This window comes from Homo sapiens, chromosome 2 (assembly GCF_000001405.40).
Source record: "Homo sapiens chromosome 2, GRCh38.p14 Primary Assembly".
In the NCBI taxonomy this organism is placed as follows: domain Eukaryota; kingdom Metazoa; phylum Chordata; class Mammalia; order Primates; family Hominidae; genus Homo; species Homo sapiens.
The window spans coordinates 113,127,837-113,147,828 of NC_000002.12; the positions used below are offsets into that span (position 1 = coordinate 113,127,837).

The following is a 19,992-nucleotide window of genomic DNA, read 5'->3' on the forward strand; positions in this document are numbered from 1 at the left end:
AGAACTGGGTTTGGGCTGGAGAGGATGTCCATTATTCAAGAAAGAGGCTGTTACATGCATGGGCTTCAGGACTTGTGTTTCAAAATATCCCAGATGTGGATAGTGCGACCGGAGGGCTGTCTTACTTTCCCAGAGACTCAGGAACCCAGTGAGTAATAGATGCATGCCAAGGAGTGGGACTGCGATTCAGGCCTAGTTGAATGTGCTGACAGAGAAGCAGAGAGGGGCACCAGGGGCACAGCCCGAAGGCCCAGACTGATATGGGCAAGGCCTGTCTGTGCTGACATGTCGGAGGGTCCCACTCTCCAGGGACCTTGGTTTCCCCGTCTGTGACATCTGTGACATGAGAGTCACGATAACTCCTTGTGTGCCTTACAGGGTTGTTGTGAAAATTAAATGCACAGATAATAGCGTAACAGTATTCCGTGCATTGTAAAGAGCCTGAAAACCATTATGATTTGAAAATGGAATCGGCTTTGTGAGACCATCACTATTGTAAAGATGTGATGCTGATAGAAATGACAGGACTGCTTGTGCATGCCCTCTGCAGTGTGACATTCCAGCAGTGAAATCATGTTGGGGTGACTTCTCCCCCACTCTGACCTTTATGTTTGTCTGGGCCGAGGCTGCAAGTCGGGCTCTGTGGGTGTATGAGTGACAAGTCTCTCCCTTCCAGATATGGGGACTGTCTGCTTCCCTAGGTTGCCTCTCCCTGCTCTGATCAGCTAGAAGCTCCAGGAGATCCTCCTGGAGGCCCCAGCAGGTGATGTTTATCCCTCCAGACTGAGGCTAAATCTAGAAACTAGGATAATCACAAACAGGCCAATGCTGCCATATGCAAAGCACTTTGGTTTGCCTGGCCACCCCTCGTCGAGCATGTGGGCTCTTCAGAGCCACCTGATGAGGTGGGTACAGTTAGCCACACTTCACAGGTGAAGAGGTGAGGCACAGGTCCCAGGTCAGGCTGGCCAGAGCTCTGTTTATTACGTCTCACAGCTTTGAGTCCTGCTCTCAACCAGAGAGGCCCTTTACCAAGAAGAAAGGATTGGGACCCAGAATCAGGTCACTGGCTGAGGTAGAGAGGAAGCCGGGTTGTTCCCAAGGGTAGCTGCTCCTGCAGGACTCTGAGCAGGTCACCAGCTAATGGAGGAAAGGCTCTAGGGAAAGACCCTTCTGGTCTCAGACTCAGAGCGAGTTAGCTGCAAGGTGTTCCGTCTCTTGAAACTTCTACCTAGGTGCTATGGTAGCCACTAGTCTCAGGTGGCTATTTAAATTTATACTTAAATGAATGAAAATAGAAGAAAATTTAAAATCCAGACCCTTGGTCACACTATCCACATTTAAAGAGGTCAATAGCCACATGTGGTTAGTGGCCACCCTATTGGGCAGTGCAGCTACAGAACATTTTTGCATCCCAGAAAGTTCTTTTGGATGTTGCTGCTCTACAGCATGCTTTGCTGAAACAGAAGTGCCTTCCCTGGGAATCTCAGATGGGAAGCAAGTAAGGAGGGGAGTCAAATGTGGGCTCACTGCTCACCAGCTGTGAGGGTTGGGCCTGCCTCTTAACCATTGTCAGCCTCAGTCTTCTCATCCATGCATGCCGTGGGTATACTAAAATACTATACCCCTGGAAGAGCTGGATGCAAATTTGACAAGTTCTGGGGGACACAGGAAGGTGCCAAGCACAAGGCTGGGCACATGGTGGCTGTGCACTACAGCTGAGTCCTTTTCCTTTTCAGAATCTGGGATGTTAACCAGAAGACCTTCTATCTGAGGAACAACCAACTAGTTGCTGGATACTTGCAAGGACCAAATGTCAATTTAGAAGGTGAGTGGTTGCCAGGAAAGCCAATGTATGTGGGCATCACGTCACTTTGCCCGTCTGTCTGCAGCAGCATGGCCTGCCTGCACAAACCCTAGGTGCAATGTCCTAATCCTTGTTGGGTCTTTGTATTCAAGTTTGAAGCTGGGAGGGCCTGGCTACTGAAGGGCACATATGAGGGCAGCCTGAAGAGGGTGTGGAGAGGTAGAGTCTAGGTCAGAGGTCAGTGCCTATAGGCACAGTGGTCCCAGGGCCACAGCTGGGAAGGGCAAATACCAGAAGGCAAGGTTGACCATTCCCTTCCTCAAGTGCCTATTAAGGCTCCATGTTCCTATGTTGTTCAAACCCTAACTCAATCCCAAATTAATCCACCATGTATAAGGTTGAGCTATGTCTCTTATTCCTGGACACCATACTCAGCCATATTCTGGTCCACACATTAAACAAGCTGGATGACCTTGAAGAAGCTTCACCCACTCTGTTCCTCAGCTTTCCCTTCAGTGGGATGATATCAACTGGACAACAGGATGTGCGATTCTTTTAGTTCCAGCCTTCCAGGATGTTTTCACTCCCCTGTTTGTTGTTGTAGGATGGTATTACCTCCACCTTCCCACCTTCCCTATGCCCTGGTTCTGTCTCCTGTGCCTCGCTCTGAAAGTGGATGAGACCTACAATTCCTGTCCTGGTAGTTCTCCTAATGAACACACTGAAGCACGAGGAAGCTGAGATTTTTGTTGCTACATGAGAGCATGGAGGCCTCTTAGGGAGAGAGGAGGTTCAGAGACTCCTAGGCTCCTGTGGAGCCCCACTCATGGCCTTGTTCATTTTCCCTGCCCCTCAGCAACACTCCTATTGACCTGGAGCACAGGTATCCTGGGGAAAGTGAGGGAAATATGGACATCACATGGAACAACATCCAGGAGACTCAGGCCTCTAGGAGTAACTGGGTAGTGTGCATCCTGGGGAAAGTGAGGGAAATATGGACATCACATGGAACAACATCCAGGAGACTCAGGCCTCTAGGAGTAACTGGGTAGTGTGCATCCTGGGGAAAGTGAGGGAAATATGGACATCACATGGAACAACATCCAGGAGACTCAGGCCTCTAGGAGTAACTGGGTAGTGTGCATCCTGGGGAAAGTGAGGGAAATATGGACATCACATGGAACAACATCCAGGAGACTCAGGCCTCTAGGAGTAACTGGGTAGTGTGCTTGGTTTAATCTTCTATTTACCTGCAGACCAGGAAGATGAGACCTCTCTGCCCTTCTGACCTCGGGATTTTAGTTTTGTGGGGACCAGGGGAGATAGAAAAATACCCGGGGTCTCTTCATTATTGCTGCTTCCTCTTCTATTAACCTGACCCTCCCCTCTGTTCTTCCCCAGAAAAGATAGATGTGGTACCCATTGAGCCTCATGCTCTGTTCTTGGGAATCCATGGAGGGAAGATGTGCCTGTCCTGTGTCAAGTCTGGTGATGAGACCAGACTCCAGCTGGAGGTAAAAACATGCTTTGGATCTCAAATCACCCCAAAACCCAGTGGCTTGAAACAACCAAAATTTTTTCTTATGATTCTGTGGGTTGACCAGGATTAGCTGGGTAGTTCTGTTCCATGTGGTGGAACATGCTGGGGTCACTTTGGAAGCTGCATTCAGCAGAGTGCCTGGCTTGCGCTGGGCATCCAAGGTGGTCCCTCATCCTCCAGGCTCTCTTTCCATGTGATCTCTCAGTGTTTAAGAGTTAGTTGGAGCTTCCTTACAGCATGGCGGCTGACTTCCAAAAGGGATTATTCCAAAAAGAGCCTCAACATGCAGGCGCTTATTATGACTTCTGCTTGCATCATCCTATTGGCCAAAGCCAGTCACGTGGCTAAGTCTAGCCCCCTGTGAGAGGAGACTGCATAAGAGTGTGAACACCAGGAGACACGGTCACTGGGGGCCACCACTGTAACCATCTACCACAGGACCTGAATCTCTGTGTGCTACTCCCTTGCTCAAGGGCCCCCCTACCCACGCAGACCTGCTGTCTTCTAGCAAAGCCCATCCTCAGGACCTTTCTCTTCCAATCCTTATTGACTCAAATTGATTAGTTGGTGCTCCACCCAGAGCCCTGTGCTCCTTTATCTCATGTAATGTTAATGGGTTTCCCAGCCCTGGGAAAACATGGCTTTGTCTCAGGGGCTTGCTGGATGCAAGCTTAACCTCAATGTGAGTGGCCATACTGTGGCACTGTCCCATCCCTCACCAGGGACACTGTTCTGGAGGGTGACTGCCTGTTCTGTGAGGAGTGGGGATGGCTAGGACATTGCATGGAACACACCACCACCCCATCTTCTCAGAGCTCAAACCCTGACAGAACACCAGCTCCACAGGCCTTGGCTTCTGCTGATGGTGCCGTGTATTTACCAGACTTAGTGGTCCAAGGCCAGAGTGGCCAGATTTCCCAAAGTCAAGGTGTGACAGTGGGACAGCCTCTTTGTGTCTTTGCTGTCCTAAGAAACCTGGGCCAGGCCAGGCGCAGTGGCTCACGCCTGTAATCCCAGCACTTTGAGAAGCCAAGGTGGGCAGATCACGAGGTCAGGAGTTTGAGACCAGCCTGGCCAACATGGTGAAACCCTGTCTCTATTAAAAATAGAAAACATTAGACAGGTGTGGTGGTGCATGCCTGTAATCCCAGCTACTCAGGAGGCTGAGGCAGGAGAATCGCTTGAACCCAGGAGGTGGAGGTTGCAGTGAGCCGAGATTGTGCCACTGCACTCCAGCCTAGGCGACAGAGCAAGACTCCGTCTCGGGAAAATTAATTAATAAATAAATAAACCTAGGTCCCAGAGTCCCACAGAATGGCAGACAGGAGCACCTGGGGGCTTTTAGGGTATGGCATTTCCCCTGTACTAACTCTGGGCTGTCCAGAGGGCCATTTCATGGCGTGGAGTGGAGAGGGAGGCAGCACAGGACTTCCTAGGCCTCAGCTCTCACCTGCCCATCTTTTGATTTCCAGGCAGTTAACATCACTGACCTGAGCGAGAACAGAAAGCAGGACAAGCGCTTCGCCTTCATCCGCTCAGACAGTGGCCCCACCACCAGTTTTGAGTCTGCCGCCTGCCCCGGTTGGTTCCTCTGCACAGCGATGGAAGCTGACCAGCCCGTCAGCCTCACCAATATGCCTGACGAAGGCGTCATGGTCACCAAATTCTACTTCCAGGAGGACGAGTAGTACTGCCCAGGCCTGCCTGTTCCCATTCTTGCATGGCAAGGACTGCAGGGACTGCCAGTCCCCCTGCCCCAGGGCTCCCGGCTATGGGGGCACTGAGGACCAGCCATTGAGGGGTGGACCCTCAGAAGGCGTCACAACAACCTGGTCACAGGACTCTGCCTCCTCTTCAACTGACCAGCCTCCATGCTGCCTCCAGAATGGTCTTTCTAATGTGTGAATCAGAGCACAGCAGCCCCTGCACAAAGCCCTTCCATGTCGCCTCTGCATTCAGGATCAAACCCCGACCACCTGCCCAACCTGCTCTCCTCTTGCCACTGCCTCTTCCTCCCTCATTCCACCTTCCCATGCCCTGGATCCATCAGGCCACTTGATGACCCCCAACCAAGTGGCTCCCACACCCTGTTTTACAAAAAAGAAAAGACCAGTCCATGAGGGAGGTTTTTAAGGGTTTGTGGAAAATGAAAATTAGGATTTCATGATTTTTTTTTTTCAGTCCCCGTGAAGGAGAGCCCTTCATTTGGAGATTATGTTCTTTCGGGGAGAGGCTGAGGACTTAAAATATTCCTGCATTTGTGAAATGATGGTGAAAGTAAGTGGTAGCTTTTCCCTTCTTTTTCTTCTTTTTTTGTGATGTCCCAACTTGTAAAAATTAAAAGTTATGGTACTATGTTAGCCCCATAATTTTTTTTTTCCTTTTAAAACACTTCCATAATCTGGACTCCTCTGTCCAGGCACTGCTGCCCAGCCTCCAAGCTCCATCTCCACTCCAGATTTTTTACAGCTGCCTGCAGTACTTTACCTCCTATCAGAAGTTTCTCAGCTCCCAAGGCTCTGAGCAAATGTGGCTCCTGGGGGTTCTTTCTTCCTCTGCTGAAGGAATAAATTGCTCCTTGACATTGTAGAGCTTCTGGCACTTGGAGACTTGTATGAAAGATGGCTGTGCCTCTGCCTGTCTCCCCCACCGGGCTGGGAGCTCTGCAGAGCAGGAAACATGACTCGTATATGTCTCAGGTCCCTGCAGGGCCAAGCACCTAGCCTCGCTCTTGGCAGGTACTCAGCGAATGAATGCTGTATATGTTGGGTGCAAAGTTCCCTACTTCCTGTGACTTCAGCTCTGTTTTACAATAAAATCTTGAAAATGCCTATATTGTTGACTATGTCCTTGGCCTTGACAGGCTTTGGGTATAGAGTGCTGAGGAAACTGAAAGACCAATGTGTCTTTCTTACCCCAGAGGCTGGCGCCTGGCCTCTTCTCTGAGAGTTCTTTTCTTCCTTCAGCCTCACTCTCCCTGGATAACATGAGAGCAAATCTCTCTGCAAAAAAGATATGGGGCAGCACTGTCCACAACAGCCTCTGCTGGAAACAACCCAAGCACCCATCACAGAATGAATTAGTACATCATGTATCTGCACACAACACAGTGCTCCTTGGCAAAGAAAATGAATGAATTACAGCCAGCTGCACCTCACAAGACAGATAATCTTACAAACATCATGTGGGTACAAGAATCACAAAAGCATGCATAGAGTGTGATTCCATTTCTACAAAGTTCAAAACGGGCAACATGGGGCTGTTGTGTGGAGGGCTGTGGAAACAGGTGGTGCAGAGAGAAGCAAGGCCATGCTCTGTCTGAAGGCCCAGTGACACTTGGCCCCTGCGAGAGAGAGTGGCAGGCAGGAGCACCTGGGGGATTTTAGGGTCCAGACAACATTCTATTTCTTGGCATGGATGCAGTTAGGCGGTTTTCTGTATGTATATTTTATTTCACAATACCTAGAAAATAAAAAGACTTGCCCCCCAACAACCAGGGTGTAAAGAAAGGAGCATCTGGGAAATTATGAGATTAGTGAATGGAGTATTGAATTTGTCCCCATAGGTGGGAGTGCAAGACCATGAGTGACCACTTATCAAACACACCTCAGTAAACAGTCAGGAGAGTGAGGAGTGTGGTCCTTTCACCTGCCCAGGTTGTTTCTGTTAGATTCTGGGCTTGGTCTCTGGAGTCCAAGAGGCAGGCCCCAGTGAGGTCATGCACTTGCTGTCTGATTTTGGCCAAGTCACCTCCCTTTGTGGGGACTGTTCCTCATTTGTTTGAGGGGAATGTTGATTTGGATGGGGATTTTCCAAACAGAGCTCCTTGGACCCTTCCCTCTAAGGTCTCTGGAAATGGGAAACCCTGCAGAGGGGAGGATAAATGGGCCAGGATTCATCCCTTGAACCCTGTTCCCAACAGAGCCCTCTGTTTTTCTCTTCTTTACAACTTGGACCTCCCATGGGACTTTGTTTGAAAGGGAGACTTCATTGCTAAAAGCAAACTAAACTAAATAGGCTAAAAGGCAACAAACTGGAGAAAATGTTTAAGGTCTTCTCTAGATCTAAGATCCTATGACGTTGAGGAGGTCATCCAACATCTCTGAGTTTTCTCTTTCTTGTATATAAAATGGAAGTAGCTGGCAGGGCAGGGCATGTGTCGTTGATATATTTTTAATCCTGGTAAAAGGAGGAGGTTCAAGGCAGAAAACTCATCAAAGCTTAATGACAACAATAGCAGCTAACATTTGTGAGGCTCTAAGGTAAAACCCAAGGCTAAGACTCTTCATGCAAACTAGGTCAAGCAGCAAGCTACAGGTTAGAAACAGGCAAGGCAGCAAAACAGTCACATGGGTGAACTCTGGGACTCTGCAGTCACACTCTGACTCTCCTGCTTGCACTGGGTGCTCATAAGCAAGCTAGTTAACACCTCAGAGCCTTGGTTTTCCCACCACTAAATGCAAATAATAGGCAATGCTGAGTTATTGCAAAGTTACTTAATCTTTGCAATAGCCTTCTGTGGTGAGTGGCATATTCTTATTATTATTATTAGTCCTAGAAGAGTCAGTGCTCAAAGGAATCTGCTTTAGAGCCTTATTGCTCCAAGTGTGGTTCATGCATCAGCAACATCAGCATACTTCTGGAGTTAAAATGCAGATTCTCAGATCTCAGGCTTGACTTACTGACTTAGGGTCATCATCTTAACCAGATCTCCCATGCACATTAAATTTGAGAAGCACTGTTTTAAAATGCATTAGCCGGGTGCAGTAGTTCATGCTTGTAATCTCAGCACTTTGGGAGGCCGAGGCAGGTGGATCACATGAGGTCAGGAGTTCGAGATCAGCCTGACCAACATGGTGAAACCTCATCTCTATTAAAAATATAAAATTAGCTGGGCATGGTGGCGCATACCTGTAATCCTAGCTACTCAGGAGGCTGAGGCAGGAGAATCACTTGAACCTGGGAGGTGGAGGTTGCAGTGAGCCGAGATCACACCATTGCACTCCAACCTGGGCAACAAGAGCAAAACTCTGTCTCAAAATAAAGAAAGAAATAAGATAAAATAAAAAGCATAAATCGCACAATGCATAAGTTTTGGCATACGCACTAGCATAAAGGGATTCTCCTACTTATAAACCTAGCCCATCTCCTTACTCTCTATCACACTAGCCCATTGATGACACCAAAAACTCCCCTCTTAACACTTTAGCTGGGCATGGTGGTTCACGCCTGTAATCCCAGCACTTTGGGAGGCTGAGGTGGGCAGAGCACTTGAGGCCAGGAGTTCAAGACCAGCCTGACCAACATGGCAAAACCCTGTCTCTACTGAAAATGCCAAAAAATTAGCCAGGCATGGTGGTACATGCCTGTAATCCCAGCTACTTGGGAGGCTGAGGCATGAGAATCACTCAAACCTGGAAGGTGACAGTTGCGGTGAGCTGAGATCATGCCACTGCATCCCAGCCTGGGTGATAGTGAGACCCTGTCTCAAACAAACAAAAAAACAAAACACTTCCTTACTTTGGTTTAAAGTGTTCCATAAAATATTCCTAAGAGGAAAAACTTTAAATCATCATCGTGCTGCTAGAATGTCAGCTCAACCCATGCAGATATTTTTGTCTGTTTTGTTCTACAGTGTATCTCAAGTGCCAAGGCCATTGCTTGCGATATACTGGGTGCTAAGTGAATATCTGGCCAGTGAATAAATGAATTGGCCACTGATATATCAATATGGATTAATTTATTCGACAGGTCAGCAAATTTGAGAAGACTGGGGACTTGGATCAGGAATATTTTGAAGGAAGCTTAGAAGAGGGAAAAGGCCCAGAGTGAAGGATTTTTCAGATATTTGGAGGTTAAGAAAAAAGATATGACCACGAGGTGGCGGTAGCACACATAGGCTTTCGGGTTGATGCTTTAACAGGTTTACACTGGGGAAGGTCCTTTATAGCAGGAATTGGTCAAGGAGGCTATAGTGTGGAGATGGGGTCCTACTCAGAGGGGAAGGAGGGCAAGAGGACTCCTAGGAAAGAAGAGAATTGGAAAGGGGGCTTACATGGCCAGGTGAAGTCACCCAGCAGCACAGCAGGGAATCTCTGGGTCAGAGAGCTCCTATGGGCTGCAGTGGCTTGAGGCCTTTATGGCTTGGGGCTTATCCTTGGCCAGCAGATATTGGATACAGTTTCATGGAGTATACAGAGCAGGCAGGTTCTAAATGGATTACCATAGGCTTATTGGGGCTATGTTTAAAGCAAGTGGATGTGCAAACATTTGAGTTTGGCTTGGTGGGGTATTCCAGGTCTGGTCTCAGCCTGCGGTGAGGAAATTAATAATCAAGGGGCCAGCACTTTATATAGCACAAGGCAGGGGCCATGGATTAGGAAAGCCAGGCCTGGGGTTCATGCTTAAGTGAGGCTTTTGTTCAACTGGGAGGCGGTGCACAGGTGACTGGGAGGTGGAGGGGCTGAGATGGGAGAGAAAAGCACAGAGAGGGAAGACAAGCAAGCCTCAAGAGGATTGTGGCTTCTTCCGTCACTTCTGGGCCTGATCTACTACAACACTACAGAATCAAGGACAACTGTTTGAAAATTCAAGGCTGAATTCAGGTCTTTCATTGGTGAGTCAGAGTTTTCCTACAGACTCCCTGGGGGGCCCTTGGCCAAGCAACCTCTCCTCCCTAGGCCTCAGTTTTCATAAAAGGAGGGAATTGAACTAGATATGTGTCTTCATCAGGCTGACCTGCAGGAGCTTTTTACCAAAAGTGGCCTACCTCCTCCATCCAGAGGTTCTGATTCACTTGATCTGGGTGTGGGACAAGGACATCATGATGCCAGGGCTGAGGCCCTGTGGACCACATAGCTCCTAAGTCAGGGACCCTGAGGTCAAGTCCTCCCAGCTCTCCCACCTGGCCCTGGTAGTGTCTGTCAATACAATGGAGGGAGATGGTCTTTAACTTCAAAGAAAGGCCACTTACCGCATCAGCAGTACATTTTGACTACATGTTAATTTGGGTTGAAGGTAGAAGATTTTCTATTTTCTCAATCACAGGCTGGCTAAAACACATTTCAAGCTTCATTCTGGGGGGAACATAAATTGGCCTTCAACAGGGGGTGTCAAATTGGGGTAAAATTCTTGCAAATCTTGGGGAAACCAAATAAGTTTTTGTTTTCTCTTCACATAACTATGAAATCCCTAGCCACAACAGCAAATCTCAACATGCTTGATATTCAGCCCAGTTCTCTCCATAAAAGTTTCTGGAGACAATGAAACTCATCTATTGGGTTCTTAGCTTTAAACCTGAGAAAGCTTAAAAACAGGGAAGATTAGCTTTGACGTCTTGCCTCTGGGTCTCCTTCATGTGGAGCTAAAAGAGTAGTTCAGGAAATATCCACCAGGGGTCAGCATTTTGTACACACCTGACTGCTCTGGAAAGTGTTTTTGTTTTTTTTTTTTTAAATAGAAACGGGGTTTCACCATTTTGCCCAGGCTGGTGTCCAACTCCCAGACTCAAGCAATCCGCCCGCCTCAGCCTCCCAAAGTTCTAGCATTACCGTGTGAGCCACCACACCCGGCCTGGAAAGAATCTTGACAAGGCAAATAATCAGTTTGGTTCATGCTCTCAAATTAGTGAAGGTCTGGTTTTTCAAGACTCTCTAGGTGTTTCACTCTAAGGAAAAATTTATTTTCATTCACCTATCAATCAAGCTGAGGTGGGGCCTGACTCCTGACAAGTATCCAAATGTTGCCTATTGCCAATGTCTAGTCTCCAAGGGGTGACACCCGAGAAATTCTAAGTCTTCTGTGCCTGCTTTAAAGTCCACTTCCTGTCATCCTGTTATCTGTTGCAGACCTTTTACCTGTATGATTGACTGGTGTGTGGAATTAACACTTCCCTCCTCGGCCGGGGGAACACACCCACATGTTGGAACTCAGCACAGGAATCCCAACGGCGTGCCTACAAGGGAAATGCGTACTTTTGTGTGTTGGTGGGTAGTGGACAGAACTCGTAAAAGAGATAGATAAAATACCCAGGCACTCACTACAGTGGGGAATGGATCTGTTCAGGGGCCAGCTATGCCTGCATTCTTTCCCAGGGACAGTTGACACAGTCAGATGACTCAGGAAACTTGATTTGCTTGGAGTCAGAGCAGAGGAAAGATCTTAGTGACCAGGGACCTCAAGCTGCCCCACCTGAGCGCTCCACCTCCACTCCAAGGGGCTTCCTGCCAAGAGATCAGTATGTCTGTGTGTAGAGTCAAGACACATCTTCCTTAGGCCACAATGGAGTCACACTGACATCTTCGCCTTCCCTCCTTGGCAGTATTTATTATAAGTCACAGGAGTTTAGTTTTCTTTCAACTCAGGCCTGTGGTTGGAGCACAGGGAGCTAGGCTGGGGCTAGATCTTGCTAACCTAGTAGGCAATGGTAAGGATTCTAGTCTGTCCTAAAGCATAAATAGGCCTTGGACACTCTGAAATTTGTCCTTTCACCACCCCATGCTCTACTTCTAAGTGCTCTCTCTCCCCATCTGCACCCCCTAGTTCCTACAAAAATCTCCTCAAAGCGAGGCTCTTGGACAATTTGTTCCATGAAGACATCGAGCACGGTCCATACCAGCCCTCAATAACCCCCTCTTCTAGACTCCATGAGGACCTGTAGCCCAGACCCCTGATCTGCATGGCGCCTCTGGGGTCTTTCCAGAGGTGTATGTTTTAACCATCCCCTGAGCACCTTAAAGTAAAGATTCAGTGTTTTGCTGTTTGTGCTCCCTAGAGCACCTGGGCGCTTATCGGAAACTGATGAAAACTCACTGCCAACATATTCTGAAGTATATTCATTCATTTATTTAATTTATTTATTTTTTTATTTTTCCATAGGTTAATGGGGTACAGGAGGTGTTTGGTTACATGTAGTAAGCTCTTTAGTGGAGATTTGTGAGATCCTGGTGGACCCATCACCCAAGCCGTATACACTGTACCCTATTTGTAGTCTTTTATCTCTCACCCCCCACCCACCCTTCCCCCCAAGTCCCCAAAGACCATTGTATCATTCTTATGCCTTTGCATCCTCATAGCTTAGCTCCCACATATCAGTGAGAACATACAATGTTTGGTTTTCCATTCCTGAGTTACTTCACTTAGAATAATAGTCTCCAATCTCATCCAGGTCACTGCAAATGCTGTTAATTAATTCCTTTTTATGGCAGAGTAGTATTCCACCTTATAGCTATATCTATCAATATATATATATATATATCATATATCATATATAGATATCATATATATCACAGTTTCTTTATCCACTCATTGATTGATGAGCATTTGGGTTGGTTCCACGATTTTGTGATTGCAAATTGTGCTGCTATGAACATGCGTGTGCAAGTATCTTTTTCGTGTAATGACTTCTTTTCCCAGTAGTGGGATTGCTGAATCAAAGGGTAGTTCTACTTTTAGTTCTTTATGAAATATATTAGTTTAATATGCACTTCCCATTTTTTCTTCTCTCTTAGAATACTGTACCCCAGAGATACACCTGACTTATTTCTTCTTCCGCATTGAGGCCTCTGCACCCATGGCTCCTTATCAGAGAGGTCATTTTTGACCACCTTATCTAAAATAGCATTTGCCTCCTGAAAGCCACCTGTACCTCCTTTGCTTACTGTTTCTGTACTTTGCTTTATTTTTCTTCCTAAAAATGGTTGCTGGGTGGGCACGGTGGCTCACGCCTGTAGTCCCAGCACTTTGGGAGGCCAAGACGGGCAGATCGCCTGAGGTCGGGAGTTCGAGACCAGCCTGACCAACATGGAGAAACCCCATCTCTACTAAAAATACAAACTTAGCCGGGCGTGGTGTTACATGCCTGTAATCCGAGCTACTCGGGAGGCTGAGGCAGAATCGCTTGAACCTGGGAGGCAGAGGTTTTGGTGAGCCGAGATGGCGCTATTGCATCTGGCCTGGGCAAGAAGAGCGACACTCTGCCAAAAAAAAAAAAAAAAAGATTACCTTCTGCCATGCTATGTGTTTGTGTGCTTATTTAAGATTTTTTTCCTACTACATTTTAAGCTCCATTAAGATAAGGGCATTTCCACCCACACCAGTGCCTGCTTATTAATTCAACAGTCTTATTCATTGAGTACCTACTATCGTTCATCTCCAGGTGCAGGAGACCATCAGCAGAGCACTCCCTACAGTGCTTAGCCATGAATGGAAACCAGCTGTCAGTAGTAGTATTTTTACATAGCTAATTTATATTCCCAGTTTTGTCTTTTTTTTGTGTATTGTGGGGCAAATTAGGAAAATAATAATTCCACTCCTGAGGTAGAATAACAGGGCCCCAGGGTACAAATTGTGTGTCTCTGTGTTCACCCATGGTGTGTGAAGAAAGCCTGTAAGTCCCCACGCTCCTCCTTCTCTCTGTGAGAGCCACAAAACCGCATAGAGGCAGGTGTGGTGGAATTAACTGGGAAGAATGAACAATGTTCGAAATAGTGATTAAAGGATCATAGCAGAGCCACTGAATATGAGATGGCACTGTCAACACGCCCCAGCCTCACCACCCGACAGGGCAGGATCCCCAGGCCTGGCTTGCTGCTTATGATTGTTCTCTATCTGCCAGCCCGCAATGCCCACATTTCTGTTGCTATTTTCTGTGAAGGATCTCACTTCTCCTGACCTCCTGCCACTTCAAGTGCATCCAGGGCTCACCTTTGGCTCTCCAAACACTGACCAAAGTTCTCTGCTAAACACAGAGCCCATCCACTCCAGAAGGGCAGAGCTTTAAAATTACAGTTATCTTTAATATCAAACTCTTCGACAGAACTTGTACCCCTTTCAGACCAGGGCGAATCTCCTGACGAAAGTATGCCTCCCCCATGCCCCTTCTGAGAAACTCAATTCAGAAGATTGTGCTGCAGGGAGCAGAGGGGAAGGGGGCCAGCTCCAGACAGAGCTGATTTTCAGATAGGCCATTTGCAAGTGGAAAGGGACAAGAGTCTCTAGTTTGAAATCATAACTCTCAGGGATGAGGTCCAGCTACATCATTTAATAGCCAAGTGATTTTGAACCAGCTTCTGAAGCTTCCTGAAGCTCATTTCATTCATTTAGAAAATCAAGGCTGGGCACAGTATCTCATGCCTATAATCCCAGCACTTTGGGAGGCTGAGGTGGAAGGATCGCTTTAGGCCAGGAGTTCAAGACAAGCCTGGCCAACAGAGCAAGACCCCCCATCTCTACAAAAAAGTTAAAAAAATTAGCCAGCTGTGGAGGCTGAAGCAGGAGGATCACTTGAGCCCCGGAGGCCTGGCTGCAGTGAGCCATGATTGTGCCACTGCACTCCAGCCTGGGTGACAGAGCAAGACCTTATCTCTAAAATAAACAAAAAATAAAGAAAACCAAGATCATAATACTTCTCAGAGTTATTGTCATTATTAAATAACATGCAAAGTGCTCTGGGTAAAAGCTCACTATAAAACTGCTTGAATAAGGTTATAACCCAAGTATCACCAGATGTCTCCAGCCCGTGGGTCATCTGAATGTCCTGGTCCTGACTCAGCTCACCGTTAAGCCCCACACTACACCCTGACATGCCCCATGTACAGATTTTAAATGCTCAGTTGCATAAAGTTTGAGAAATATATACATTCATTTAACTACCACCCCAATGAAAATGTAAAACATTTCCATAACTCCTGAAAATTCATTTATGTCCTTCTCTAATCAATTCCTCCCACTCAAGAGGTATCCACTGTTCTAACTTTTATCCCATAGGTTGGTTGTGTCCTGTTTCAAACTTCACATAAATGGAATCATACAGTATGTACTATTTTACTTGGCTTCTTCCTCTCAACATAATGTTTTTGAGATTAATCCATGTTGTTGTGAGAAATCAACAGATTGTTCCTTTCTATTGTTGAGTAGTATTCCAACTTATGAATAAATCATAACAGATTATCCATGGACTTTTGAGATGTTTTCAGTTTTTGTCTATGATGCGTAGAGCAGCTATTCTTTTATACCATTCTTCTTGTGGATATTTGTTTTCAACTCTCTTGCTTTGAGTAAATGCCTAGCAGTGAAAGGACTAGGTCAAAAGGTAGGTCAATTTACAAGAAATTGGCGACTTGTTCTCCAAGTTGTTGCATGGTTTTACACTGCTGTGAGCAAAGTATAAGAGTACCAGTGGCGGCCAGGCGCAGTGGCTCGCGCCTGTAATCTCAGCACTTTGGGAGGCCAAGGTGGGTGGATGTCAGGAGTTCCAAATGTCCAGGAACTCCTGATGTCAGGAGTTCCAGACCAGCCTGGCCAACATGGTGAAACACTGTCTCCACTAAAAATACAAAAATTAGCTGGGCGTGGTGGCGGTGGTAGCTGTAGTCCCAGCTACTTGGGAGGCTGAGGCAGGAGAATTGCTGAAACCCAGGAGGAGGAGGTTGCAGTCAGCTGAGATCACTCCATTGCATTCCAGCCTGGGCGACAGAGTGAGACTTGGCCTCAAAAAAAAAAAAAAAAAAAAAAAAAAAAAGGAGTGCCAGTGGCTCCAGTTCCTTGTCAACTCGTCAATATTTGGTATTGTCAGTATTTTAAATTCTAGCCATTCTTATGAGGATGAAGTAGTATCTCTTTGAGGTTTGAATTTGTACTAAAAATATTGAGCATCTTTTCATGTGTTTATTGGTCATCTGTGATTTTTTTAAATTGTAAAATGTCTGTTTAACCCTTTCAGCCATTATTTTATTTGAGTAGTTTGTCATTTTCTTATTCATTTATAGTTTTTAAACAAATTATTTTTAATTTTTGTGAGTACATAGTAGGTGTATATATTTATGGGGTACATGAGATATTTTGATATGGGTATGCAATGCATAATAATCACATCAGGGTAAATAGGGTATCCATCCCCTCAAGCATTTATTCTTTGTGTTACAATAATCCAATTATACTCTTTTAGTTATTTAAAAATATACAATTAAATTATTATTGGCTATAGTCACCCTGTTGTGCTATCAAGTACTAGGCCTTTTTTATTCTTCTAGCTATTTTTTGCACCCATTAACCATCCCTACTTCTTCCTCACTCCCTCACTACCTTTTGCAGCCTCTGGTAACCATCATTCCACTATCTCCACGAGTTCAATTGTTTTCATTTTTAGCTCCCACAAGTAAATGAAAACATGCGAGGTTCGTCTTTCTATCCCTGACTTATTTCACTTAACATAATGACCTCCAGTTCCATCCATATTATTGCAAATGCCAGGATCTCATTCTTTTTTATGGCTGTATAGTACTCCACTGTGTATATGTACCTCATTTTCTTTATTCAGTCATCTGTTGATTGACAAGTTGGTTCCAATCTCGGTGATTGTGAAGAGTGCTATAATAAACATGGGAGTGCAGATATCTCTTCATTATACTGATTTCCTTTCTTTTGGGTATATACCCAGCAGTGGGATTGCTGGATCATATGGTAGCTCTATTTTTGGTTTCTTGAGGAGCCTCCAAATTGTTCTCCATAGTGGTTGTACTAATTTACATCCCCACCAAGAGTGTTTAAGGATTCCCTTTTCTCCACATTGTTGCCAGCATTTGTTATTGCCTGTCTTTTGGATAAAAGTCATTTTAACGGGGTGAGATAATAGCTCATTGTAGTTTTGATTTGCATTTCTCTGATGATGTTGAGCACATTTTCACATATCTGTTTTCCATTTGTATGTCTTCTTTTGAGCAAGGTCTGTTCAGATCTTTTGTCCATTTTTAATTGGATTATTAGATTTTTTTTTTCCTAGAGAGTTGTTTGAGTTCCTTATATATTCTGGTTATTAATTTCTTGTCAGATGGATAGAGTGTAAACATTTTCTTCCATTCTTTGGATTGCCTCTTCACTTTATTGATTGTTTCCTTTGCTGTGCAGAAGCTTTTTAACTTAATGTGGTCCCATTTGTCCATTTTCCTTTGGTTGCCTATGCTTGTGGGGTATTACTCAAGATATCTTTGCCTGGTCCAATGCCCTGAAGAGTTTCCCCAATGTTTTCTTGTAGTTTCATAGTTTGAGGTCTTAGGTTTAAGTCTTTAATCCATTTTGATTTGATTTTTGTGAACGGTAAGAGACAGGAGTGAAGTTTCATTCTTCTGCATACGGATATCCAGTTTTCCCAGTACCATTTTTGAAGAGACTGTCCTTTTCCCAATGTATGTTCTGGCACGTTCGTCAAAAATGAGTTCACTGTAGGTGTATGGATTTTTTTCTAAGTTTTCTACACTGTTCCATTGGTTTATGTGTCTGTTTTTATGCAAGTACCATGCTGCTTTGGTTACTGTAGCTCTGTAGTATAATTTGAAGTCAGGTAATGTGATTCCTCCAGTTTTGTTCTTTTTGCACAGAAGAGCTTTGTCTATTCTGGGTCTTTTGTGGTTCCACATAAATTTTAGGATTACTTTTTCTGTTTCTGTGAAGAATGTCATTGGTATTTTGATAGGGATTGTATTGAATCTGAAGGTGGCTTTGGGTAGTATGGACATTTTAACAATACTGATTCTTTCAGTGTATGAACATTTTAACAATATTGATTCTTCCAGTCCATGAACATAGAATATCTTTACATGTGCTTGTATAGTTTCCAAAGTTCTTCTTGTTATTGATTTCTAGTCTTATTCCATCGTGGTCAGAGAAAATACTTGATATTATTTTAATTTTTTAAAATGTTTTAAGACTTATTTTGTGGCCTAAAATGGTCTATCCTTGAGAATGATTCATGTGCTGAGAAGAATGTGTATTCTTCAGCTGTTGGATGAAATGTTCTGTAAATATCTATTAGGTCCATTGTGTCTATAGAGCAGATTAAGTCTTATGTTTCTTTGTTGATTTTCTGTCTGGATGATCTGTCCAATGCTGAAAGTGGGGTGTTGAAGTTTCCAGCTAGTACTGTGTTGGGGTCTATCTTCCTCTTTAGCTCTAATATTTGCTTTATATATCTGGGTGCTCCAGTGTTGGGGATGTATATATTTACTCTTGTCATATCCTTTTGTTAAAGTAGCCCTTTTATTCTTATATAATGACCTTTTTGTCTTTTCTTATAGTGTTTGTCTCGAAATCTATTTTGTCTCATGTAGGTAGAGCTACACCTGCTTCCTTTTTGTTTCCAGTGGCATGGAAACAAAAAACAATCATCTCTTTATTTTCAGTTTATGTTTGTCTTTTTAGGTGGAATGTGTTTCTTGTAGGGAACAGATCATTGGGTCTTATTTTTTTTTTTAATCCATTCAGCCACTCTATGTCTTTTGATTGAAGAGTTTAGTCTATTTACATTCAATGTTGTTATTGATAAGTAAGGACTTACCCCTACCATTTTGTTATTTGTTTTCTGGTTGTTTTGTGGTCTTCTCTTCCTTCTTTCTTTCCTTTCTGTCTTCATTTTAGTGAAGGTGATTTTCTCTGGTGGTATGTTTTAATTTCCTGCTTTCTTATTATTCATGTATCCTTTGTAGGTTTTTTGATTTGAGGTTACCACGAGGCTTGCAAATAATATTGTATAACTATATTTATTTATTTATTTACTGAGACAGAGTCTCGTGCTATCAGCCAGGCTGGAGTGCAGTGGCATGATCTTGGCTCACTGGAATAACTCATTATTTTAAACTGATGACAATTTTACACTGATTGCATGAACAAACAAGCAAAAAGAAAATTAATAAAATCTCTACACTATAACTTTATCCCTCACTTTTTAACTTTTTGGTGTTTCTGTTTATATCTTATTGTACTGTCTATGTCTTGAAAAGTTGTTACAGGCCAGGCGCTGTGGTTCATGCCTGTAATCCCAGCACTTTGGGAGGCCGAGGAATGCAGATCACTTGAACCCAGGAGTTTCTGACCAGCCTGGGCAACATGGCGAAACACCATCTCTACAGAAAATACAAAAATGAGCCAGGCATGGTGTTGTGCACCCATGGTCCCAGTTACTCAGGAGGCTGAGGTGGGAGGATCACCTAAGCCAGGGAGGCTGAGGCTGCAGTGAGCCATGATTGCACTACTGCACCCTAGCCTGGGTGACAGAGTGAGACCTTGTCTCAAAAAGAAAAAAGTTGGTATAGTTATTATTTTTGAACAGTTCTTTTCATCTTTCTACCTAAGTTATGAGTAGTTTACACATCCCAATTACAGTGTTATAATATTTATTTTTTGTGTACTTACTATTACCAGTAATTATCTGAATTTTGTACCTTCAGATGATTTCTTATTGCTCATTAATGTCCTTTTCTTTCAGATTGAAGAACACACTTTAGCATTTCTTGTAGGACAGTTCTTGTGTTGATGAAGTCTCTCATATTTTATTTGTCTGGGAAAGTATTTCTCCTTCATGTTTCAAAGATATTTTTGCTGGATATACTATTCTACGGTAAATATTTTTTTTCCTTCGGCACTTTAAATATGTCATGCCACTCTCTCCTGGCCTGTGAAGTTTCTACTGAACAGTCTGCTGCTAGATGTATTGGAGCTCCATTGTATGTTATTTGTTTTTCTTATTTACTGCTATTAGGATTCTTTCCTTAATCTTCGAGAGTTTGATTATTAAATGCCTTCAGGTAGTCTTCTTCGGGTTAACTCCACTTGGTGTTCTACAGTCCTCTTATACTTGAAAATTGATTTATCT

At 44.6% G+C, this 19,992-nt stretch overlaps 1 protein-coding gene across 10 annotated transcripts in view, besides 1 other annotated feature; it reads left to right on the plus strand.

The window, feature by feature from the left end:
• IL1RN (interleukin 1 receptor antagonist) overlaps positions 1–6,178 on the plus strand; it is a 34,655-nt gene extending 28,477 nt beyond the window's left edge. For all 10 annotated transcript variants that reach the window (XM_047444184.1, XM_047444185.1, XM_011511121.2 and 7 more), the window contains 3 exons: positions 1,740–1,828; positions 3,209–3,321; positions 4,820–6,178. In XM_047444184.1, the coding sequence (XP_047300140.1) occupies positions 1,740–1,828; positions 3,209–3,321; positions 4,820–5,035 (418 nt within the window). In that variant the 3' untranslated portion in view covers positions 5,036–6,178. The remainder of the gene's footprint in view (positions 1–1,739; positions 1,829–3,208; positions 3,322–4,819) is intronic.
• Positions 7,631–7,780: a silencer, noted in NCBI's record as "silent region_11878". NCBI's record gives its function as "represses an Ori minimal core promoter by ATAC-STARR-seq in GM12878 lymphoblastoid cells {active_cell/tissue: GM12878}" and the evidence as "EXISTENCE:reporter gene assay evidence [ECO:0000049][PMID:35858748]".